Here is a 24412-nt window from a genome sequence, read left to right as displayed (position 1 = left end):
ACACATTTGGGATCAGTTCTTTTTTTCTTTTTTTGAGACAGAGTCTCACTCTATCCCCCAGGCTGGAGTGCAGTGGCGTGCTCTCAGCTCACTGCAAGCTCCGCCTCCCGGGTTCACGCCATTCTCCTGCCTCAGCCTCCCGAGTAGCTGGGACTTCAGGCACCTGCCACCATGACCGGCTAATGTTTTTGTGTGTATTTTTAGTAGAGACGGGGTTTCACCGTGTTAGCCAGGATGGTCTCGATCTCCTGACCTCGTGATCCACCCACCTCAGCCTTCTAAAGTGCTGGGACTACAGGCGTGAGCTACCGCGCCCGGCAGGGATCAGTTTTTAAGGACAGCTTAGTGGGTGAGGAAGCCAGTGAGCCAGGAGTGCTGATTGGTCAGGTCAGAGATGAACTCATAGGGAATTGAAGCTGTCCTTTTGTGCGGAGTCTGTTCCTGGTGGGGGTCACAAGATCAGATGAGCCAGTCTATTGGTCTGAGTGGTGCCAGCTGATCCATCTAGCGCAACAAGGATCCGCAAAACATCTCAAGCATGGATTTTAGGAGCAGTTTAGGGAGGGTCAGAATCTTGTAGCCTCCAGCTGCATGACTCCTAAACCACAATTTCTTTAATCTTGTGGCTAATTTGTTAATCCTACAAAGGCAGTCTAGCCCTCAGGCAAGAAGGAGGTTTATTTTAACTATAAACTAAGTTCCTCCCAAAGTTAGTTCAGCCTACGCCCAGGAAGGAACAAGGACAGCTTGGAGGTCAGAACCAAGATGGAGTCAGGTCGGAACCCTTCCACCAACGGTGATAATTTTGCAAACTTGGCTTCACTAGTTGCTTCGTTGCTCCATCTCGGGCTGGTAGGAACCCCTTCCCTGGCTGCCTCCCCAGCGAAGGCTGCACCCCCACCCCCGCAGGCCAGGCCCAGCTCACCCCAGCCTGCTCAGTGGCCCCTCGCAGTACGCTCCCCACCAGCCCCCCAGCCCATCCCCACGGCTCTGGGGTTTGAGCAGGACCCTCCGCGGCTCTGAGACAGAGCCAGCAAATCCCTGATCTCATGGTGTTGCTGGGGTCGGGGGCGGCATCCATGAGGGTTGGCCTCGTCTTCCAAACCCAGCTCTTTATGACGTCTGAGAGAGGATTGGCCACATCGTGTCCTGGGCTCTGCTTCCATTTCTGAAGGGCTGCGTGTCTGCCAGGTTGGGAGGTTTTGAGCCCATCTGGACCCTGGCATGGCCTTTCCCCCTGAGCCGACAGCAAACATTTGCCCAAGCTTCACGGGAAAGAAGTCACCTGTGGAGCAGGAACGAGAGCTGGCGGGGGGTGGGTGGGCTTCTGGGCAGCTTGGACTTCAGAGGAGATGCGAACCTTCCCTGTGTCTGCAACTCACGGGCGTCCGTGTGAGATTCTGAGTAACATTATGTGAGTTACACTTTGAGAGAAGGAAAGCCACACACGTGGTCTAAAAATCCTGGAGCCTCCTGAGTGAGGGGAAGAGTGTGTCGGACTCATCCACGGAATCTTCCAGAGGGAACTTGAGCGAAGACTCAGTGTCCGTGAATTACAGGACTGAGAGCTTTGTCGCTCAAGCTTGACCTTCTGTTGGCGTCACTTACAGTCTCAGACACAGATGGTCTGAGACGAGCTCTGTGGGAGGGGAGGCCCCTTCTATTCCCAGATTCAGCTCCATGGGATGTACCCCTGCCCAGCAGGCACAGGACCCGGGGGAGGCTCAGAACCCCACGTACCTGGCCACTGTGCAGACAGGCTCCCCAGCGCCAGGCCAGGCCCACCATCCACCAGGCCCAGAGGCCCCGCCCTGGGCAAGCCAGGGATCGGGGCGGGGGGCAGCTTGCGGTGCCTGCCTGGGAAGAGCCTGGCATTGTTTGCAGAACCCTTGGGACAGGGCTGCTTCTTCAGGGGAGATGCAGCCATGGGCCTGGGGCTGTGGCTGGGGTCTTCTGTCATCCCTGCCTACCACAGCTCCCTTCGAGCCCCCACAGGTGGTGGCGGATGTGGGGCTTTAGGGCCACCCTGGCCATGGGCAGAATTCTCGGCCCTGGTGGGACTCCTGGGCAGGGAGAGTGTGGGTCCCACAGGTGGCCGGAGACTCTGCTTCCTCCACTGATGTCCACATACCCCACCCTGCCAGGAGAGGCTCACCACGCTTAAAAAAAAAAAGGTTTGTTTTTTAAAAATCACTTTAGCCTTGGGTAACTGGGGCCTCCCTTCCCTCTCCTCCCTTCCCACCTCTTTCCTTTCCCTCCCCCTTCCCCCGATTCTCCTTCCTCCCCTCTCTCTTCTGCTCTGCCCTATTCGCTCTCTCCCCCACTCACCATGGGTGCTGGGCCAACAGGCAAGAACCTGGGTGGGTGCCCGGCCCTGCCAGGCAGAAGGCGGGTGGCTTTCTGGTGAGAAGGAGTGTGGGGCCTCCAGGGCCGGCCTCCTCCAGGTGTCCCCTTCCCTGGACACGGAGCTCTCCACGGACACTCTGCCTGCCAGCCCCACCTGCATCCTTCAGCCCTGGAGGTGCGCCCTGCCTGATACCCGACAGCAGGTTCCCAGCCCAGAAGGATGCAGATGGCGCACCAGGAGATGAGCCCCCCACCCTAACAGGAAAGCAGAAGTGGACTGGGGGGACCCGCGGACCTGGGGAGAAGCTCCGTGGGCAGAGGCACACAGATACCTGGAGGCAGCCTGCGTCTGGTGAGAGCCCTCCCAGGCCACAGCCCTGATTCCAAGCCGTGGGCACGAGCGGCCTCCTGGCTTGGAAGCTGGCATTGGGTGTCCGTCCTAATCCATTAGAAACTCCACCCCAGGGTGGCAGGCAGCAGGGACTGTTTCGAGAATCTACACACAGAATGTAACCACCATCGGCTACACTTTCGCACTAAATCCCAGGGTTCCCCTGGCTGTGCCCTGCACACGGCCAAGAGGCCATCGCAGATGACCAGGCTCACATCATAAGGATGCGAGATTGCATTTGAAGAGGCCCCCTGGGCAAAGCTGGACACCGATGCTTGGAAAGGGCACTAATGGTGATCGACTGAGACCCACCAATGTGTTTCATCAGCGATGTACAAATATACTTGGGAGATTGTCGGGAACCAATTCACCGTTGTGGAAACTGACAAATGAGGGAGAGGCACCCTTGCCCTGCCTTTCCTGTGGGCACCATTATCCAGATGGCCAGACGGACAAGATGAGCCTCTCCCTCCAGTGAATTCATGACGAAGCCACCACGCACTGGAAAATCACCATTTTGCTCCATGAATCTGTCGATTCAGACATCAAGCACCAACGACTGCGGACGGAGGAGCTACCACCAGACAGTGCGTGGCTCCCTCTGCGAGCCCCCGGCCTTGCCAGGGGACTGGACCCGGATCCCAGCAGTCCCCTGGCTCCAGGTGCCCACTTCCAGGAGACGCAGAGGCCTGCACCGAAAGATGCAGCTCCAACCCAGGCCTCGGGTACCTCCACGTGTCCGAGGGCCACTTCCTACAACAGGTGCCGGGTACAGAAAAGGACAGAGGGATGGAGGTGGGTAGGAAGAGAGCACTGAAAGTCACACAACGCACATTTAACCCCAGGCTGCCGTGTGGGAGGATATACGTGGACACGGAAACCCACAGAGCGAAGGGAGGGGCCACCAGACCCCTAGGGATGGGCTACTGATGGGATGGGAGGGGCCTGCAGCGGCTTCTGGGCTCCGGCAAGGGTCTCTGTCTTGACCCGCAGGTGCTTACAGGGTGCTGATCCCTGTCGTGACTCACCTGATTAGAATGCAAAAGGCAGCAGACCTCACCCCCCACCCGAGGTCTCCCACAAGTAAGATCTAAGATTTAAACAAGAGAAGCCACCTGCCTTCTGCCTGGCAGGGCTGGGCACCCACCCAGGTGCTTCAGCCATGGCCCCTGGTCCTAGTCAAGATTTTGTAATCACAGAGAAGACCACCCTCGGAGCTGCCACAGGACCCTAAACTCCTGGGCCTCAGTTTCCTCCTCTGTAAAATGAAGCTGATGAGTCCTGAGTCCGGGAGCTGGCCCTGGCCACAGACCCTCCAAACCAGCTCCTCTGAAGGTCCACAGCCAGCACATGGCGGGCAGCCGGCCCTGGGGTCCTGGGGTGTGAAGCAGAGCTTGGATGTGCGACGGGAGCCCTGCACATCTGTTGCTCCTGCTGGCATCACTTGGGAAGGCCTCGTGCCCACCCTGAGCTCTGTCCAACCCTCGGGAATAGCGCTGGGTGGCAACCAGGGTTGAATGTACAGAAGCCCCTGCTGGGGTGACTGAGGAGAGGGTTTACCCAGCACCCTAAGTGTGAACCCTATAATTGACCCCATTGGGCACTTCTGTTCCCACCCCCTGGATCTTTTTAGCAAAGCCAGCCCTCCTCATAAGGATGCCTGGGAACTATTTTATCTTCTGGGGAGGTGATGGTTTCCTACCTTCCAACCCACTGACCCAGGGAGGCAGCTGACCTAGCACCATCCACAGCCCTGAGCTCCCTTTGGTGGGAGGTGGGGTGAGAGTGTGGAGCAGGCACAGCTCCAGACACCCAGGCCAGAGGAACCCCCACCTCTGCAAGGGCTGGTGCTGGATGGGCGACGTTCCAGGAGGGTCCCAGGCCTACAGCTTCTGCCCAGAAGAGTCCATGGGGCAAAGGGGTAGAACCCTAGGCCACCCCAGGGCATGACTGGCTTTACTGGAAATGGCTGGAGAGGTTGGGCTTGCGTTCCTTGAACCCACAGAGCCCGGTGATCCCACAGCCCGGAGGCCATCACTCCCCTCCAGCTGCCTTTTAGGATTAGACAGGCAAGCGGCTAAAACATGGCCAGGCCATACCCATTTTCCACGTGACAAGAGGCTGTGGCCGTGTTTGCCCACACCACCTGTGTTTCTGCTTTGTTGTCGTACAGCAGTTGTGGGTGATTAGGAATAAAGGCTGACTCATTGCACCTGTGTGCCATAGCATTTTAGCCCAATTCCCCATTGACGGACATCTGATTGTTCCGTTTTTCATGAGTCATTTGTTGAGAAATGTGCCAGGTGCTGGCCGGTGGTATCCTGGTGTCTGCCTGGTGGGTTCTGGAACTCCACCTTCCCTGCATCACCCTGTGAGCTTCTGGAACATTTCCCAAGGAGGGAAGGGAGGGTTCTAGGGCAGGGGCCGCGGGGCACTCCTGGGGCAGGTGTGGAGGAGACTGGGGTCTTCGTGGGTGGTATTTGTCATGGGTGGGGGGGGGGACTCCCTCTACTGGGTTAGGTCCCTAAACTGGAGCTGGACCAAGCTCCGGAGTACCCCACCCCCAGGCTATCCAAGGCTCCTTCCACTGGAGTTGCCTTTGCAGCCAGGTTGGGCTAGCCAGGAGCCAGGCTAGGAGCCCAGGGTCTGAGCGGGTGTTGACAGCCTGGAGTGGGTGGGCGGACTGTGTGGGAGGTGGGTGCTGGAGGATGGCAGGGGGGAACAGGAGGGGGAAGAAGGAGGGGTAGGGGGCTGGAGCAGGAAATGGGGGGCAAACAGGAGGGGGTGCGGGAGGGGGCGCAGAAGGAGGAGGGGCCCAGCAGGAGGGGGTGCAGAAAGGGCAGGGGTTCCAGCAGGAGGGGGTTCATAGGGGCAGGGGGGCCCAGCAGGAGGGGGTGCAGGAAGGGTGGGGGGGTGCAGGAGGGGTGAGGGGTTCCAGCAGAAGGGCGTGCAGGAGGGGCAGGGGGCTGGAGCAGGAGTGGGGGGTCGGGGAAGGGGACAAGAGGGGAGGCGGGGAGGGGGCCGGGGAGGGCGGGGAGGGCGGGGAGTTCCAGCAGGAGGGGCAGGGGGCTGGAGCAGGAGGGGGTGCAGGAGACTGAGCGGGGATTCGCGGGCTCTGCGATGGTCGGGAGCGCAGGCAGCGAAAGCCCCGCGTCCCGGGTCGCGGCGGTCAGACAGACGCAGCCTGGGTTGGGGTCCCTGCAGGAAGTCGCCGCGGGCCAACTTTTCGTGGGGCCGCGGGGCAAGCAGGTGAAGTCACGTGGCCCGGGCGGGGCGGGGCGGCTCGGTCGGACCCCGCCCCTGCCTCCAAGTCCCGTGGCGTCGGCGGGAGCGGCGCAGCGCGGGCCGGGCCGGGACGGGGACTGTCGGCTGCAGGCGGCCATGCCCACCAACTTCACCGTGGTGCCCGTGGAGGCTCACGCCGACGGCGGCGGGGACGAGACTGCCGAGCGGACGGAGGCTCCGGGCACCCCCGAGGGCCCCGAGCCCGAGCGCCCCAGCCCGGGTGAGCGCGGCCGCACCTGGCCGGACAAAGGCCGAGCGCCCCGAGCGCGGGTCTGGGCCCGGCATCCGGGAGCGGAGGCGGGCGGCGGGGCCGGGGGTACAGGAGGCGCCCCTTCCCGCGCCCCCACCGCCTGTTCTCGGTCCCCCACGAGGGCCCCCACCCCACGTTAGTGGCAGCGCTAGGGGGCGAGGGGCCCTGCCAGGGCTCCCGGTACGGTCAGCTCGGGTGGGACCGGGGGCAGAGGTGTGGACGCCGCTGCTGGTAGCCATGGAAACGGGGAGGGGCTGGAGCGCGCCTCCGGAGGGAGCCCGGGCCCCTGGGTGGTCCCTAGTGGGACAGGGGTGGCGGTGGAGACCCGGGCGGTTCGGGAGCCGGGGCGTCCTGCGTCCCCCGCGCTCTCCCTTCCCCTGCGCCGCGGCCGTCCGGTAACACTAGCCCGGGCCGGCCCGTCCTGCCCCCGCCTGACCCTGGAGGAGCCGCCCACCCCCCAGAGGCGGAACAGGAAGGACTGCGCCCTGGCTGGGGAGGGGGCAGCCACCGGGGCCTTGCTCAGGCCGCGTCCTCCGTGTTCCCGTCCCCCGTTCCGGGAATCTGGAGGTTTCTAGCACTTTCACTTTCTCTAGGGGGTGGGGACGGGGCTGGGGAGAGAATCCCCCAGCCCTGTTCCCTCCATCCTGGCTCCAAATCCCAGTTACTCCCCGGATCTCAGCCCCCTCTAGAAACCGGAGGCTCTTAGGCCCTTCCATCCGGAGTCTCTGAGAAGGTGTCCGGACTCAGTCCAGCCCCCACCCCGCGTGCTGGCAGTGCCCGCATGTGCCCGGGTCTCATGCAGTGGGTGGCAGCCTCCCTGCTCCCTGGCAGTGGAAGGAAGGTGAGGTCTGTCCAGGGACAAGTCCGGTGCCAGACCCCAGATCCTTCCTAACCCACCATCCCGGGCAGGAAAGGCCAGACATCCCCTCCAGGCAGTTTAGGAACCCGGAGACACGGGTGGGGACCCACCGTGAAGGCAGTGGCCTGGTGGCCTGGGGTGCGTCATCAGGGTCCCCGTGGCGGGCGAAGAGTGGTCTCAGCTTCCTCTGCACAGAGGCCAGCCCAGATCTTGGAAGTGGTCAGGCGGGGCGCCAGGCTCAACACCAGGTGAAGTGCTAACTAAGCAGGGTCCGTGAGTCCAAGCCCCTTCTCTCCAGTCACCACCGTGGAGGCAGGAAGCACCAAGGAGTGTGGGCCCTGGCGTGGTCTTTCTGTGTGAGCTTTGTAGCAACGCCCCCGGAACGCACTCAGAAGGAGCCTCTTCTTGTCTGGCCGGCCCCTTCTCAAGGCTGATCAGGTTCACTTTTGTCTTTAGACTGTAAGTGTCATTTGCTTTTAAGCCAGAGAGAATTTTGTGCTTGTTCGTTTTCTTGTCTCTTCTACTCTCAAGGCTGTTGAGCAGTGCCCTGGGCCTGTGTCTGCCCAGCAGGAAGTGGCCCTGGCTGAGCGCTGCCCATGTCGCTGCCCGCGCACTCAGGTCCTGCTACGGGCGTGTCAGGAGGCTCCCTGGCCTTCATGAAATTGAGAACGGGAGGGCATGGGCCAGGTGTGGGCTTCTGGACACTTTTGAGGGTGGCCCTGTGGTGTGAGCTGAACTTGGGAGATTTCTCCGAACTGGCAGAGAACTTGCACCTGGCGCTTTTGTGCTGGACCCGCTTCCTACTTCCACAGAAAGGGCCCGGTGCCCAGCCACTGCCAGGCTGTAACGGGCACGCAGCTGCCCTTCGGAATCCACTTGATCACATCCTGATCTTCAGCCCACAGAGGTGCGGCGAGGAGTCCCGTGATGGGCACGGAGCCTGGGGAAGGAGGCACAGGCTTTGCTTTTTGGTGGTGGTTGGGGGCGGGGGTCCTGCAGAAGCCGGAGCCCCTCCCAAAGGCCTTCTGTGTGGGGTCCACACCACAAGGTCACAGGCCAGGTCCAAAACTGTCCGGCCACAGAGTTACCAGCACCCAAGCTCTTCCTGACTCCATTGCCGTTCCCCTGAACGGTCTGTGGAGGTACTGGAGCTTCTGGGCTGGCGCCTGGGTGACGGCGAAGCAAGTTTGGGGGGCCTGGTGGGCTGATCCTAGGCACTGCCAGGTGGGCGTGGAGAGGGCGTCCTGAGCCACCCCAACTTGAGGAGCAGGGGCCTTGGTGTCCCCAGCCTGGGTTGGGGGGTTCTGGGGAAAGAGGGGTAGATGCTGCTGCCCGGGCTGCCTGGCTCGACCCAGAGCCCAGCAAGGCCGCGTCTGCCCAGCCTGGCTCCAGGGGCCTTCTGTCCCCGACCCCTGCAGCTTCCCTGCTGCTTCTGGTGGAGCCTCTGCGGGAGGCGTCCTGTCCCGGGGATGGGCACTGTGCCCTCAGCACTTCTTGGGACGGAGCTTTTATTCTTATGTGAAATACCTCGTCTTGAAATGAGAAGGACGTGTTAACCCTCAGTTTCTCAGTGGGGTGGTTTTTTGAGAGTAGGAGGTGGGAGGACACTGCTGGGGGCCGGCTGCGTCTCGTCCGACTTCAGGGTAGAGTGGGTTTTGTAACTGACTTGGGGGAGCCCACCCTTCCTCCGTGACCACATCAGGGTAGACTCACTCCTTCCCAGGTTGTAGGGGTGCGTCCAGAGGCCTCGGAGACCCTGGGAGGGGTGGGAAAGGAGGGCTGGCCAGTGCCCCGGCCTGTCTGGAAGGTGCAGCGTGCAGAGCCTCTGTCAAGGTCCCACAGGCCCTGGCCACCCACTGTCTAGGAGGGACTTCCACTCGTCTGGGGCTCCCTGGGCTGGGAGAGGGTGGGTCCTGCCTTGTACCCCCAGGTCTCCCACCCTCAGCTGGGGCTCTCCCAGGTTTGCCGGGAGCTTCTTCCTGGCTTGGGCGCCACTTCCCTCTTTGGGTTCCGTTTCTGAGATTTTCCACTGTGGCTGAGCTCGTGTCGGTTGTCCAGGGGCGGTCCTGCCTCCCTCTGCCCCTGGCCGCTGACAGAGGCCCGGTTGCGTGGTCAGTGGCCTGCCCGTCCCTCCTGCTCCAACTACCTACCGTGTCCGTGTTGGGAGCCCCCTCCCAAAATCTGAGGACAGCTAGAGCTGCCGCTTTGTCCTGGGCCGTCCTCGCCTGTCGGGTGCTGGGTGCCATGCTCTGCACTGCCCTTGGGAATGGCGAGACGGTGCACGCCGGTCGTGCTGATCTGGGGTCCCCTTTGGGGATGCAGGGACTTGGGGGATCACGCATTAGATAGGGGGACCACACACAGAGCGTCCAGGTTCTGTCCTGCCGAGTAGGGACAGAGAGCTCTCGTTGTGCCCAGATTTCAGGAGGGCGTTCCCGACACGGACATGGGAGGCAGTCGGAGCAGGAGGGACAGGCAGGCTGTTGACCCCGCGGCTGTGCCCGGGAGCCCCTGCAGCAGCTGGGCACTGCGTTGCGGGAACGGAAGGTCATGGGTATGTGGTGAGCAGGCAGGGAGGCTACAAGACATGCATTTTGTGTATCGAGTTCCCTTTTTAAAACCAAAGGAAACAAGATACACAGGAACGCCGTGGCTGCTGGGCATCCAGGCCGGGGCCTGTGCTTCCTCCTGCGCCTGACATACTCCCAGGCTGTCTCCCGGCAAGAGGCTCTCCTTAGCAGGCATGCGGTAAAGCATGGTGCTTTAGGTCAGCTGGCCGGGTCCATGTGTGCGGGCACCTATGTGCCTTGTGAGCGTGCAGGTGTATCCACGTGTGAGCCATGTGCTTGCACTGTGTATATGTGCACATATATGTACACACGTGTGCATACATGTGTACTGTGCTCTTGCACAGCTGTGTGCTGTGGGCATGCTCACGTGTGTGTGTGTATGTGTGTGTTTGTATGCTGTGGCAGGTAGAGAGGGGCTGGGGCTTCCTCCACAGCAGAGGGTCACGCGGTGTTGGGTGTTGGGTATCCGTTCCCTCCCCCTGGTCTAGGCCCATCAGTGAGTGGTGAGGGGCTCCCTCTCCTGGTGTGGCCTCGTGTTCAGGTCTGAACCTGCTCCTGGGCCTCTGATCATATGAGGAGACCTTTGCCTCGTGGACTCAGGTTCATGGTTTCCTCTTCTGCAAAGCTCCCCAGGCTTCTCTGAGTGGGCGAGGCCAAACGGATTCCACGGTGGTTTTCTGTCTAGCGTTGGACACCAGATCCCCTTCTTAGAGTGCGTGGCTTTCTCAGTGCCTCTCCCGTGGTCTGGATGGCTGTCGGGAAGGTGGTGCCAAGGGGAGGGCCAGGTGCTCAGGCCTGGGTGCAGGGCGGCTGGTCGGGGCCGAAGTCACACAGGTTTGCTGGGGATCGGTGAATGTCGGAGACCTTGCCAGGTGGTGGCTGGAGTCAAGCAGAGGCACCTGAGGGACCCTGAGGGTGAGTTGGGGGCTGTCCTCCCCTCATGCCCGGCAGTGAGTGGGCCGTGGAGTGAGGCCACCTCTGTCAGGGCCTCTGCCCTTTGGACGTGGGGCCACGTCCTACACAGCTCCCTGGACCTGACCCAGGGATTCCCAGATGGCCCAGGCTCCTGCATGGGGGATGGGTGGCCTTTGTAAAGCACAGAAAGCGACCCAGGTGGGCCTCAATCACTTGAGAGGTTTATTTGCCGAGGTTAAGGCTACGCCTAACACAGAACCACGGGGAACTCCTGTGGTCCGGCTTTTCTTCTCAAAGAAGGCTGAGAACTTGAATATTCAGAGAGTAAAGCGTGAGTATTAGGGGAAGAAAGAAAGAGAAAGAAGAGGGAGGGCAGATAAGAGGCAGGCAGCGTTTGATCAGCGTTCACTGAACCCGTGTGTTACACATGGGGGTAAAGGAAGAACCCCTCACGGCTCACGCTTAGTGACTCTGCACATTTACCTTCGACACAGTCAGTACAGGGTGGGCGAAGCAGTGAGGTGTGCGTTTGCCTCCGGCGAGCAGAGCAGCAACTCCTGGTTCTGTCCTTGGTCCCACACCCGTGAGGATGAGCTGTCATTTCCACCGTCAGTGTGAGTTTCATCACAACTGCTTTAGTGTAAGGATCCTGTGGGTCCTAAAATATGAGGGAGGCCTGCAGCTTTCTACACAGGAAGAAAATGGAAGGCAGCTTGCGTGACCCGGTTCCCAGCCTGACTCTTGCCTGTGGCTTAGTGTGTTTGGGTCCCGAGATCCTGTTTTCCTTTCATACCTTGGACCAGGGAGCCTTCCCAGGGCTGCTGTCCTTGGGCACTGCAGACACATCCCGACGTGGCACCGCTGGGCACAGCACTGGGAGTGGAGGTCAGCCCAGGGTGACCCCCCAGCTGTGAAGGGCACGAGTGGAGCCGACACCCCAGGGATGGATGGCGTCTGTGAGGCCAGCTGGCTGCCCGGAGGGCTCTCCTGTTACCATCCCTGTTGGAATATGAATTTTCTTTTTTTTTTTTTTTTTTTTTTTGAGACAGAGTTCACTCTGTCACCCAGGCTGGAGTGCAGTGGCACAGACTCAGCTCACTGCAACCTCTGCCTCCCAGGTTCAAGCGATTCTCGTGCCTCAGCCTCCCGAGTAGCGGGGACCACAGGCACGCACCACCGCGCCTGGCTAAGTTTTATATTTATAGTGCAGATGGGGTTTTGCCATGTTGGCCAAGCTGGTTTTGAACTCCTGGCCTCTAGTGGTCTGCCCACTTCGGCCTCCCGGAGTGCTGGGATTACAGGAGTGAGCCACCATATCTGGCCAGAATATGAATTTTCTAAGCTGTGCCTTAGACCGAGGTCTGGAGGGCAAAGTTTGATGTTTGACGTTAAGTATTAACCACAGTTCCTGGCTGGGTGCTTTTGATTTCAACCGGCTCCATCAGCTGAGTGTTTCTGAGGGTGGATCCCAGAGTCATTTTGTGACGGCCGTGTGGTGGGTGGGGCAGGAGTCCCTGGGTGCTGGGGAGTGTGAGGCCCGCCAGGGCCTTGAGGGGTAGACCTCCCCCTCCCACTGTGGGGCATGGGAACCCCGTGGAGCCCAGTGGGGCTGGGCGTGGACGGCATTCAGGAGTGGACCAGCTGGTCTTCAGGGCAGTGGGCTGGGCTGGGGGTGTCTGGGGCCTGGTGAGCAGCTGGCTGGGGGCCCTCCTGGTAACTGACATGGGGGGCTGGTCTCCTTTGGCCTTCCTTCTCAGATGCTGGGGAAGTGCTGCCCAGGGACAAGGGCAGAGCACAAAGGGTTAATACCTTTCCTTTATGAAGAAAGGGGAAACTCCCTTTTGGGGGCAGAGGCCTGTTCTGTGCAGATAAACCTCTGGCTTCAGCGCAGCAGCCTGAACGATGAGCTCCTGAACGATGAGCTGCCTGGCTGGCCATGCTGTCCAGGCCCTGCCTCTTCCCCTGTTTGTGGCCGCTGACTCCCCAAGGGTCCTGGAGCCTCTGGCCGGGAGTGCCGGGGGGCAGGCCCACGGCAGGGTCCCCTTTGGCTGGTGGGTGACTGCAGGACCTCATCCCTGTGGGGAGGGTCCTTTTGGCTGGTGGGCGACTGCAGGACCTCATCCCTGCAGGGAGGGTCCCCTTTGGCTGGTGGGTGACTGCAGGACCTCATCCCTGCGGGGAGGGTCCTTTTGACTGGTGGGTGACTGCAGGACCTAACCCCTGCGGGGAGGGTTCCCTTTGGCTGGTGGGTGACTGCAGGACCTCATCCCTGCGGGGAGGGTCCCCTTTGGCTGGTGGGTGACTGCAGGACCTCATCCCTGCGGGGAGGGTCCTTTTGACTGGTGGGTGACTGCAGGACCTCATCCCTGCGGGGAGGGTCCCCTTTGGCTGGTGGGTGACTGCAGGACCTCATCCCTGCGGGGAGGCTCCTCTTTGGCTGGTGGGTGACTGCAGGACCTCATTCCTTCGGGGAGGGTCCTTTTGACTGGTGGGTGACTGCAGGACCTCACCCCTGCGGGGAGGGTCCCTTTTGGCTGGTGGGTGACTGCAGGACCTCACCCCTGCGGGGAGGGGCGTGTGCTGCCGTTGCAGGGGTCTCGGGGTCCGAGTGGTGCTTGCGGCCCTGGGCTGTGACGTGGGCCCCCATCCTGCCAGCCCGTGCCTGTTTCCGCTCTCCCCTTGGGCGGTGTCTTTTTGAGGAAACAGTTGTGGGGAGGAGAGTGCTGCTTCTGAATCACGTGTGGACCTGGGGTGGTTTGTTTCCTGCGTTCTGGGGTTTTCTTGGGCAGCACCCCACACGCACCCCACACGCACCCCCCGGTGGGCCTCGGCTCTGTGGGGAGTGGTCCTGGGGTCCGGGATGAGAGTGGGCCCCGCCCAGGCCTGTGTTGACCCCTGGAGTCAGATTGCCATCCACTGTAGTGGTTACAGTGGCTCTGGGAAGTTTGGGGGCTGGGACCTGAGCCCAAGGCTGGCCATGGATAGCCGCACGCAGCATGCCCGTGTGCTTGGTTGGCATGCCTGGTTTGTGTGTCTGCCATGGCCTGGAGCTGTCCTCATGGTGGGGTAGCCCCGCTGGCCCTCCCAGCGTTCCTGTCCATTTAAGTCCCGTGCACAGGGGATGTCCACCTTGCAGACGTGCAGCCGGGAGGAGGTTGTTAAAGTGATCCTTGAACATTTGCTCTGTGCCTCAGTTTCCCTTGGCAGGAGCCAGCCTGTCACGAGGGTGGCGGTGGCTGTGACCTCTCATCTCCTTGGCTCTGTCTGCAGACCTCTGGCGCCAGCGGGTCGGGCCTGGGCTTTCAGGGAGGCTCAGAGACGCCCTGGGCAGTCACTGGGGAGGGATTGAGTGGAGTGGAAATCGGAGGAGGGAAGTGCGCCAGGCCAGGCCCCTCCTGGGTCCCCTCCATGCCGCCAAGGGTCCCCGACCGCAGCCCAGAGGCAGCCTGTAACAGGAGCCGCCCTGGGAGGGCCTGGCAGGTGCGCTGGGGGCCCTGCCTCTCCCGCCTTCCTTCATCTCTGCTCCTGCAGGCTGCCTGGGCCCCGAGTCTCTGGAACTAGGGGACCCCACGGCCCCTCCATGGCTCAGACGTCACTCTGGCTGCTGAGGGAGGAGGCTGGACCAGGACCAGCAAACAGCCACGTGACAGAGGGTTCGGGAAGTGAGTTCACCCGAGGCCACCTTCCCGCGAGCAGGCGTGTCCTTTAGATGGAAGGGCTGTAGTCCCAGTGCATGCCTGTGTCCTGGGCACCCCGCCCCGTGGGTCGTGCAGTCTGGGGGCTGTAGCCCCTGGGACTTTGTGCAGATGTGTGTGCTGCAGGTATGTGTGTGTGTACACGTGTATGTGCGGGTGTTGGTGTGTGTATGTGACTGCGGGTATGGGTATGCACATGTGAGGACAGGTGCGTGTGCAGGTTTGCGAGGTGAGTGTTGTGTGTATGAATGAGGGGGGAAGCGTGTGAGTATGGGTATGGAGAGTGTCTTCCGTGTGAGCAAGTTTGCGTGTGCACGTGGAAGTGCCTGTCTGTGCATGTGTACACATGCATGTCTCTGTGCATGTGAGTGTATATTTTCTGTGGCGTGTGTTCATGTGTGTCTGGCCATAGCTTGCCAGGACCTTCCAGCCAGGCTTCCTTGCTTCCAGTGCCTCTGACGGTGAGCTGGGATCTCCCGGCGCTCTCCTGGTTTACAGGATACTGGCGGTGGTGTCTGCACAGACTGTTGGGATGAGGTCACTTCGGGAATGGGTGATGAAGGGCCTGTTTTTCCCTCAGAAGGCAGCGCTGCTTTAGCCAGAAACTTGTGCTGGAAGCCTGAGAGCTTGCCTGAAGCCCCCCGTGTCCCAGCCTGAACACTGGGCCGTTCTCATCCTGTGCCCCTTGAGAGCCTCAGTTTCTAGATTTTAGGGGCCCACACAGCACAAACTGTGAGGGGCAGAGGGAGGGCAAGGGCCAGGGGTCGTCAGCTGGCGTTCGGATCCTGGAACCTAAACACACTTTATTTCAGTGCCCGGCACCTTCACAGGGAGCCCAGCCTCCAGGCAGTGGGGTTGGGAGTGTTCCTGGGTCCTCGCGCCTTCACAGGGAACTCAGCCTCCAGGCAGTGGGGTTGGGTGGGGGGTGCTCCTGGGTCCATTCAGTCTCGGGCTGTCCCCAGAGGCCACGTGAGCTGATGCCACTGGGTCACCAGGTGGGACTCATTCTGCTGTGAGTCCCCTGTGGCTCCAGGGGAGGGTGGCCTGCTGGACCCAGGGGACACACAGAGCCAGGCCTGAGAACCTCCTCGAGTGCAGGGAGCCGGGAAGCCTGGACTTGCTTGTCCCCTGCCCCAGGCCCGGCGCCTCTCTGTGTGCACAGGTCCGGTGCCACCCGCCACTGCTCTGCAGGGCTGGGTAGCTGGACGGACCACCCACGCTGGAGGGCAGGAAGGGGCGGAGGCTGTCGGACCTGGCTTCAGCTTCACAGCCCCTCCTGCCTGTCAGCTGCTTCCGGCTGAGGCTGAGTCTAAGAGGACGTTCCTAGAGCCCTTTGCGGAGAATGGCTGTAAAATCCCAAAACGCGGGAGGAAGAGGGGGAGGGATGAGCCACTGAGAAAGGGAGGAGGTTGTGCCTGGAGATAGGGAGGCTGATGGAGGCATTGTGATCTCAGAGGGGATTAGGGCCGATTAGGGAGGTGAGCCAGCTTCTCCCTGCAGAAACTACCCATGAACGCACTTCCCAGGCCTGGATCGGGATGGGTCAGGGATCTGACACACACACTCTCACTGCCTCTCTGGCTGGAGGGGCTGCCCCTCCTCTGGCCGGGACACTCGTGTGTCTGGTCTTTGCCCTTCCACCTGCAGCCGCCTCCTTCCCTCTCGGGGTGGGGACACAGCCTGGTTGGACAAGCCCAGGAGGCTGTTCCCCAAGGGCCCAGCCCATCAGGATCTGCTTACTGACCACAGGGTCTGCATTCACTTTGTTGATAAGGTGTCTGGAAAACTAACCTAGAGTGAAAAACAGACCGGAGGTTGCCTCTGTGGCTGGGGGGCTTGGCAGGGAGGGAGCTGGGGAAGTGGTGGGAGGCTCTTGGTAGGTCCGGTGAGCAGGGGCAGGCCTTTGTTAATGCTCAGCAGATAGACGTTCTCTTGCCCAGGCGGCTGCAGCCAGAGAAAACTCAGCAAAGCGGCTCCGGAGGGCCACAAGGCTGCTTAGTGTCGGGGGGTGGAGGGGGGTCGGGGCAGTGGTGGCCACTGTGTGCCATGACATGCATCAGACCAGGGCTGTGTGGGGCGGATCTGTGCGTGGACAGCTAGCACCCATAGGGCTGCACAGGGTGTCTGCCCACTTGCTTACCTGGGGTCGTTTTTATAATAAAATGAAGAGGTAGAAAAAATAAGACGAGAAAAAACTGACTTGTGGCCAGTTCTTCAGGCCAGGGCTTGACCTCGCCGCCTTCATGGCTGAGGAGGAGGGCAGCATTGGTCAGCCTGGTGTTGCTGGTTCTCCACCAGCGGCTGTCGGCCTTTGCTGGCTATTGGGAGGGCTCCTCCAAGGTCTCAGGGACCCACCAGAGGCTGTGGTTCTGGGGCCTGGACCCAGGTCGGGCCTGCTGGCCAGACGCTGTCAGTCCCGGGCACGTCTGCTTGGGGCAGGTTCTGTTGAGACCCTGGCCCCTGGGGATAGGTCAGCCTGGTGCATGGGGTTCATGAAGGCACCAGACAAGCTGTGAGCAGAGCTGCTGCTGGAACTGCTTTAAACCTGGAGGGACGGGCACCGGTGACAGTGACCAAGGCCCTGTCCCAGTGCAGGTGGGCAGGGCAGTCCACCCAGTGCCAGCTGCTTAGGGCCGCTCGGGGCAGGTGAGCGAGGAGGGGCCTCTGGGGAGAGGGCGCTGAAACAGGCTGTTCCCAGGTACGAGGCGGGCCGAGGCCGGGGCTGTTCCCAGAGCTGGGAAGATGTTGGGATGGACGGAGCAGGAGGGCAGCGCACACAGCTGTGGGGGAGCTGGCCATGGGTGCGGGGCTCAGCTCGTCGAGGGCTCCTGGTGGGTGGTCACCATGCAGAGCCACATCCCTGCAGGCTCATGTTTCACTGCCTCTTCCCGGGTGTGCTTTTCTGTCCCAGGACACATCCGGGATCCAACGTGACAGACACCAAGTTCCCACGCTGCCTCGGGCTCCTCTTGGCTGTGACGGTTTCTCGGACTTTCTTTTTTTGACGACTGTGGCAGTTTTGGGGAGTCCTGGTCCTTTTTAGAGAATGCCCCTCAGTTGGGAGGTGTCTGGTGTTTTCTCTCGTGGTTAGCCTGCAGCTGAGTGTTTCGGGGAGGAAGACCCCAGAGGACAGGCGCCCTCCCTGCATGCGGCGTCTGGGCACACGCGTCAACAGCACTTGGCGCGGTCTCCCCGAGGGCGCCGTCTTCCTCCTCTGTTACCCACGAGCGCAGCTCACCTTCCTTTCCCGCCCCAGCCAGGCTTCTGGAGCCTCGTTTGGTTTTGGTTCCCACTGTCGGATCCGCAGATGGGCTTGCCTTTGGGGCCTGCTGTGCTGTGGAGTAACCCAGGGCACCTGGGGGCTGCTGCGAGACCATCGAGCCTTTGAAAGGCTGTGGAAAGATAGATGACAGGCGGCTGCGGGTGGCCCAGGGGCCAGGCGGCCTTTACATGGGCTTCTTTCCCAGTGACTCTGGCCGGGTCCTGTGGATTTTTAATTCCGACGGCGTGTCTGCAGAATGGAGCACCGTACAAGCCTCATCAGGCGGCGCGGAGGGTACCAGCCCCTGCCGTCCCGGTGCCGCCCGAGGGTGAGGGACATTCGTGGATGATTCACGGGCTTCGTGAGCTATTTGCAGACACCCGCCTGAGTCTCCTTTAAGGGGAAATTCCTGAGCGGCTGCCTCGCTCTTCTCTTCCGAGGCGTGTGGGAGCCCAGCCCGGCCGGGTAGGAGGAGAGGGTTGAAATGCCATGCCTTCTTCTTCTCGCCCTGGATGCTACTGGCTGAAGTAGCCTCCTTTTAAAGCCTTATGAGTCGCTTTTTTCAGTGATAACAGTAACGGTCATGCGCCCTCAGGTTGCGAAGTGGGGCGGGCCAGGCCTGGGGGACCCCGGAATTCCCCTGCGCACTCCTGCCCCGTACACCCGCCGGAGGGGACCGTGGTGGTTGTGAAGGGGCCGTTCCTATCGCTGGTTTTAAGGTGTCCCGAGTTTTGCTGCACTTGGTTTTGGGGAGACCATGAGCTTGGCGCAAACTGAGATTCCCGAGTCAGCCTTTCTAAGCTGTGGTGGGCAGGCCACGGCTGTGATGTACAATGTGAAAGGAGCCGGCCTTTACAGGGCTTCTGTGAGGTGAGTTCAGCATTTCAGCCCTTAAATGTGGAGATAAGTCAGAAACGGGTTCGTCTTCGGGAGGAGGGAGGGGAGGCGAGTTTTGTGGAGGTCGGTACCATGGCTCATTCTGTGTCCTGGCCGGAACTGGGATCAATCCTCTGACCCGCTGAGGATGCCTGCCGTCCCCCGGAGGAGGTGGACTGGGTCGGGCCCTGCCGTCCCCCGGAGGAGGTGGACTGGGTCGGGGCTGGGTTGATGTCCGTGCCCCAGAGGAGGTGGACCGGGTCGGGCCCTGCTGTCCCCCGGAGGAGGTGGACTGGGTCGGGGCTGGGTTGATGTCTGTGCCCCAGAGGAGGTGGACCGGGTTGGGTTCTGCCGTCCACCGGAGGAGGTGGACCGGGTCCGGGTTAGGTTGATGTCTGTACCCTGCTCCTGCCTCAGGGCACGTGGTATCTGGGTGCTGCTCTTTGGCCCATGGGGTGGGGTTTGGCTGGGGAGACCTGATCTGGGTTGTTGGGCCATCCCTCGCCCCCGCTTCACCCTGCTTGGCAGAGGCCACTGGTGCATGGCGCCTGGGCAGGGGCACCACCGGGACCTGCCCTGAGGGTTAGACACTGTGGGCCACCTGGCAAGGACCCTGCCCATCTCACCTTCCTGCACCGCACGCCCAGGCTTTCCCCTGTGTCCGTTTGTCCTCTCAGCCTTCCGGTCATCATGAATGTGCAGAATGACAAGGGAGGAGGTGCTATCCCAGGCGAGTGGCTCTATCCCCAAAACACAGGCAGGGCTCGGCCAGAGGAAAACTCACTGCCCTTCACAGCAGCCAGGACTGCCGATGTCCAAGTCCAGGCCAGGGAGCGCAAGGGACGCGGCTGGGTGAGCAGAGGGTTAGAGGGTGGCTGGGTGAGCAGAGGGTTAGAGGGGGGCTGGGTGTGCAGAGGGTTAGAGGGGGGCTGGGTGAGCAGAGGGTTAGAGGGGGGCTGGGTGTGCAGAGGGTTAGAGGGGGGCCTGGGTGTGCAGAGGGTTAGAAGGGGGCTGGGTGAGCAGAGGGTTAGAAGGGGGCTGGGTGAGCAGAGGGTTAGAGGGGGGCTGGGTGTGCAGAGGGTTAGAAGGGGGCTTGGTGAGCAGAGGGTTAGAGGGGGGCTGGGTGTGCAGAGGGTTAGAGGGGGGCCTGGGTGTGCAGAGGGTTAGAAGGGGGCTGGGTGAGCAGAGGGTTAGAAGGGGGCTGGGTGTGCAGAGGGTTAGAGGGGGGCCTGGGCATGCAGAGGGTTAGAAGGGGGCTGGGTGAGCAGAGGGTTAGAAGGGGGCTGGGTGAGCAGAGGGTTAGAAGGGGGCTGGGTGTGCAGAGGGTTAGAGGGGGGCTGGGTGAGCAGAGGGTTAGAGGGGGGCTGGGCTTGCAGAGGGTTGTGGGGGCCTGGGCGTGCAGAGGGTTAGAGGGGGGCTGGGTGTGCAGAGGGTTAGAGGGGGGCTGGGTGTGCAGAGGGTTAGAGGGGGGCTGGGCGTGCAGAGGGTTAGAGGGGGGCTGGGCTTGCAGAGGGTTGTGGGGGCTGGGCTTGCAGAGGGTTAGAGGGGGGCTGGGTGTGCAGAGGGTTGGAGGGGGCGGCTGGGTGTGCAGAAGGTTAGAGAGGGCATTGGATTTTTAACGAAGGGTCTCTTGACTGGGATGGCATTGAGCCCATGACGTCCCCGGGACGCACTCTTGGTTCAGGTCTGACCTGGCTGTTTTAACCAGATAGAAACGTTTGTGGGCACTCCCAAGTGGGCACTTCCATCCTGCTGAGAGCACGCTTGCTGTGGCCTCCGTAGAGACCAAGCGACACTCTTCTCAAGAAAGTGAGGGGAGATGCGTTCTCTTTAAAGGCTTGAAGGTTGTAATCATGCTCTGAGGCTGCTTTTGGTGACAACATGCTGGTGGCTGAACACACGCTCACATGTTCAGTGCAGTCCCCACCTGGGAGGACCAGCCACACCCTGCTTTTCTGTATTCCGTCCCCCTTTTCTGTGCGTCCTCGCGTTCTGGACTCATCGTCTGTGTTACTTTAATAAGCAGCAGAAGGACAGAGTCGTGCCTCGCTGGCCCCACACGCAGGGCTTTGTCGTGAGGCCGCTGGCGCACAGCCCTGCACAGTCAGACGCAGGGATCTCGGGTGTGACCCTGTGGTGGTTACATCGTTATGTTTTCTAAGTTTAATGAATTTCTCGATATTAATCCAACTTGAGCAAGTTGTTTCTAGTGCTTTTTTCCAACTGCATAGGTTGCCTGTGGGGAGCTTGTGTGTGTGTTTTTCGGGGTGTTCTTGGGGCCTGATAGGCGTTGCCATCTTCCCAAGTGGGCTGCGCAGAGGAGACGCTGCGGTGAGCAGGGGTTGCTTCTGCTGGGAGTGTTGGAGGCGACGGGAAGGATGTTGGTCCCCTTGGTTTGAGCGAATGTGCTTGCTGTGTACACGTTTTTCCTACTTGTACAGTTCGTAGGAGTTCAGATAAACAGTGGTTGCTTGCTGAACGCAGACATAGTTACATGCTAAGACCTCAACCACCAGTAAACCTGTGCTTTCCAGAAGGGATGTAGGCCGGGCAGCGGAGCCCCAAGCTGCACTCCTGGTGGAGAAGGGCAGGCAGGGCTGAGCCTCCGGAGCCACGCACCCTTCCTGCGGGGAAGAGAAACTTGAGCCCAAGCAGCTGTGACTTTGTCCAAGGTTGTCTGTGGGGTTGGCTGCGTGGGAGGGAGAACCCGAAACCCTCGGGTCTCTCCCTCCCTCCCTCCTTCCTTCCCTCCCTTCCTCCCTCCCTCCTTTCTTCCTTCCCTCCCTCCCTCCCTTCATCCCTCCCTCCCTCCTTCCCTCCCTCCCTCCTTCCTTCCCTCCCTTCCCTCCTTCCTTCCCTCCCTCCTTCCTTCCCTCCCTCCCCCCCTCCCTCCTTTCCTTCCTCCCTCCTTCCTTCCCTCCCTTCCCCCCTCCCTCCTTTCCTTCCTCCCTCCTTCCTTCCCTCCCTTCCCCCCTCCCTCCTTTCTTCCTTCCCTCCCTCCCTCTAAGAATAGCTGCACCAGGCTCCTGGTCCTTCATCTTCCATTGACTCCAGAAAGTGTCGCCAGTCACCACTGATCTCTCTGTAAACAGTTGGCCGTTGTGTCCAGAAAAAGGGCCTGAGCAGGAATCCACTGAAACCATTGAAGAGGAGTGGGGAAGGGCCCTGGATGGGACTCATCTTGGAAAGACACCTATAATTGATGGGAAAGACATTTAGACATATTTTCTTAGTTGAAAGTATGTGTAATTTTTCTTTTAACCTGATTTCCATGTAATTTTAGATTTCAGAAAGGTTGCAAGACCAGTGTGGAGAACGCCCATCTGCCCTTGGCCTCCGTTGCCCAAATGCCAACCTCCTGCCATGTTGGCTGTGTCCCTCCTGCCTCCTGCCCTGCCCCAGGTCTCCGTCTTTCACTCCCACGTTTGTTTCTGAACTGTTGGGAGTAAGCAGCTGACGTGGTGCCTCTCACAGGCGTATTTCCTAAAAGCAAGCACGTTTCTTTCAGAATCTCTGCAGTGCAGTCACCAGAATCAGGGAGTTAATGATCACACACGAGAGATCTTTTTCAGATCTCACCAACTGGCCCAATCACGGTCTCTAGAAAAAGAAGTCTGAGGTTGTGCGTGCATTTGACCGTCTCTGTCACCTGGAGCTTCCTCTGAGTTGTCTCCCTGACGTTTTTGAGGGGTGGGGCCGCTGCTCCGTGGCACTGGCCTCTCTGTGGTGTGCCCCATGGTCTAGGCATCTGCAGTCACTCATGGTCGCACCAAGGACCTGCACACCCTGAAGGCTGTGCTTTCCGCCCCAGGCACCCTACTGGGAGCACGTGCTGCCCGCCTGCCCCCAGACGGCGATGCCCTCTTTGCTGGCACGGCTGGAACCCACCACTCCTGCGGCTGGTGCCTGTCAGCCAGCCAGGGTGGCCGCCAGTGGGCTCTGGCACATCTGAAATGTCCCATAGAGAATGCCCACCCTCCCAGCTGGGGTTGTTTGGTGCAGTGATGAGGTCTTGGCCTGCCCTCCTCCGGCCACCTCGCATCCTGCCTTGACCGTTTCTTCTGCACCCTCAGGGTCCCACACCATTCTGTGCAGGGCTAGGGTGGACTGGGCAAGGATGGGCCGAGCACCCCTAGGAAGGGTCCCGGCTTGGTCGTTCCCAGTCTGGGGAGCTGGTGTGCAGCACATGGGGCAGAGGGCCCTGAGGGCCCTGGGGTGCGTGGGTGGCTATGGTTTGATGCCCTTCAGCTCCTCACCGTGCCTGGCTGGGGCATGTGCATTTGCAGACCCTGTTCTGACCATGGGCTGCTCAGGGGTCCCGGGCAGGCTGTGGTCTCTGCAGTGGCCTGTGCCGAGTTCCTTGTGTTGCTGTGACAGTCCCCCAGGTCAGGTGATTCATGAACACAGAAACTTCTCAGAGTTCTTGAGGCTGAAAGTCTTAGACCAAGGCCTGGGCAGGTTTGGGGTCTGGCGAGGGCCCTAGGTTCCCTGCCGTGTCCTCCCATGGAGGGTGGGAGGGCGACAGCTCTGCTGCTGAGGCCTGGGGGTAGGGACTTTCATCCCCTTCCACACCTCACCACCTCCTACGGGCCCCACCTCCTACCGGCCCCGCCTCCTACCGGCCCCCCGCCTCCTACCGCCCCCACCTCCTACCGACCCTATCTTCTAACACCGTCACATGGGCCATCGGGCCTCAACCTGCCAGGGAGCCTCAAGTCCTCCTCCCCACCAATTCCCTTGCTCATGCTCTCGGGCAGCTGCTAGGATTACCCCCTGGTTCGAAGCCTGGGCTCAGCCCCATGGAGGGGTCGCCGGCCCAGCCTTCCTGAAAGACTCAGGAGGGGCTCATTTACCTAGAGAGCCTGTGGGCGGCGTCCTCAACAGGGAACAGTGGGAAGTCCTCTGTGTCCCTCCGAAATGGCGGATTAAGCAGCAAGGCTAGGAGGTGCCACCCCGACTTTTAAGAGTGAGAATTTTGCCCACATTTGGCTGAATGAGAGATTTTCAACGCCAGAGGGAGGTACCCTTGCCCTGGGCTGAACAGCTCACTTGCCGAGGCTTTCAGGGGCTTTGTCTTCAATGATGATGTGTGTGGGGGATAGCGTATGCCCTGGAGCTAGCGTGTGTTCTGGGGATAGCTTGTGTCCTAGGGATAGCTTGTGTTCTGGGGATAGCTTGCGCATTGGGGCTAGCATGTGTCCTGGGACTAGCGTGCACCCTGGGAAATGCCCCTTTCTTTGGAACACAGATGTGTGGAAGGAAGGAGAGTGTGTGAGAAGTATCACCCTTAGCCATGGTTTAGAGGTGACAGCTGGTGGGGACCAGAGCCCTCCGTGCAAGATCTGTAGTTGGCCTTCTGTGCTTGCTTTTAGTTCCTTCTAAGCTGACTCTGAATTGTTTTTCCCTCACTAGGAGATGGAAATCCAAGAGAAAACAGCCCATTCCTCAACAATGTCGAGGTGGAACAAGAGAGCTTCTTTGAAGGGAAGAACATGGCACTTTTCGAGGTAACTTTACTTTTTAGAAGAAGAAGGTGCCAGGGCCGTTGCTTTGATGTGGAAAAGTAAAGGAGCCCCTGGGGGCCCCCAGGCCGGGGCCTCCCACAGGACTGGACACCACGTGGAAGGAACTGGGGCCTCCCTGTCCTGAAGGCTGTGGCGGGGGCCCAGTCCCGCACTTGAGCTGGGACGTGCTCCTCGGCTGGTGCCTTCTGGGCTCCTTCCTGGATCTAGGGTGCTCCGGCCCCACGGGAACCCCTCTGAGCTGCTGAGTGCTGGACACCCTGGGGTCCCTGCCATGGGTGGGTGGCCCCACTCAGTGAGGCCTGGAGCCCTGGCCTCGGACTCAGACCTGCCACACAGGTGTCCAGGCCTCTCTGGCTTGCTTCAGACCCAGGGGCTGAGGACCCGGGGAGGGCCTGAGCTCCACACCCTGAACACGGGGAGGGAGGTCGGGGGGCCCAC

The 24412-nt window shown here is 60.8% G+C and overlaps 1 protein-coding gene across 10 annotated transcripts in view, besides 4 other annotated features; it reads left to right on the top strand.

Annotated features, from left to right (window-relative positions):
• Nucleotides 1–24412, top strand: part of SLC12A7 (solute carrier family 12 member 7) — a 105516-nt gene that overhangs the window by 37790 nt on the left and 43314 nt on the right. For 5 of the 10 annotated variants that reach the window (XR_007058571.1, XR_007058570.1, XR_007058569.1 and 2 more), the window contains exons 1-2: nt 6047–6242; nt 23862–23956. Coding sequence is in view for 7 of the 10 variants with exons in the window: in NM_006598.3 (NP_006589.2) it covers nt 6119–6242; nt 23862–23956 (219 nt within the window). In the remaining 3 variants the exon portion in view is untranslated. Of the gene's footprint in view, nt 1–6046; nt 6243–7508; nt 7591–10124; nt 10617–12480; nt 12668–13399; nt 14279–23861; nt 23957–24412 lie in introns of those variants that run through there. The other 5 variants (XM_047416640.1, XM_017008958.2, XM_011513939.4 and 2 more) reach the window with 5 other exon arrangements.
• Nucleotides 161–694: an enhancer, noted in NCBI's record as "H3K27ac hESC enhancer chr5:1117531-1118064 (GRCh37/hg19 assembly coordinates)". NCBI's record gives its function as "activates a minimal SCP1, AML or CMV promoter by ChIP-STARR-seq in naive H9 embryonic stem cells {active_cell/tissue: H9 hESC(naive)}" and the evidence as "EXISTENCE:reporter gene assay evidence [ECO:0000049][PMID:30033119]".
• Nucleotides 10947–11792: an enhancer, noted in NCBI's record as "NANOG-H3K4me1 hESC enhancer chr5:1106433-1107278 (GRCh37/hg19 assembly coordinates)". NCBI's record gives its function as "activates a minimal SCP1, AML or CMV promoter by ChIP-STARR-seq in naive and primed H9 embryonic stem cells {active_cell/tissue: H9 hESC(naive and primed)}" and the evidence as "EXISTENCE:reporter gene assay evidence [ECO:0000049][PMID:30033119]".
• Nucleotides 16873–17719: an enhancer, noted in NCBI's record as "H3K27ac-H3K4me1 hESC enhancer chr5:1100506-1101352 (GRCh37/hg19 assembly coordinates)". NCBI's record gives its function as "activates a minimal SCP1, AML or CMV promoter by ChIP-STARR-seq in primed H9 embryonic stem cells {active_cell/tissue: H9 hESC(primed)}" and the evidence as "EXISTENCE:reporter gene assay evidence [ECO:0000049][PMID:30033119]".
• Nucleotides 17720–18566: an enhancer, noted in NCBI's record as "H3K27ac-H3K4me1 hESC enhancer chr5:1099659-1100505 (GRCh37/hg19 assembly coordinates)". NCBI's record gives its function as "activates a minimal SCP1, AML or CMV promoter by ChIP-STARR-seq in naive H9 embryonic stem cells {active_cell/tissue: H9 hESC(naive)}" and the evidence as "EXISTENCE:reporter gene assay evidence [ECO:0000049][PMID:30033119]".

The sequence above is a fragment of the Homo sapiens genome, chromosome 5, assembly GCF_000001405.40.
Source record: "Homo sapiens chromosome 5, GRCh38.p14 Primary Assembly".
NCBI lineage: Eukaryota > Metazoa > Chordata > Mammalia > Primates > Hominidae > Homo > Homo sapiens.
Note: the sequence above shows the minus strand (reverse complement) of the source record. Positions and strands in the feature narration are given on the sequence as shown.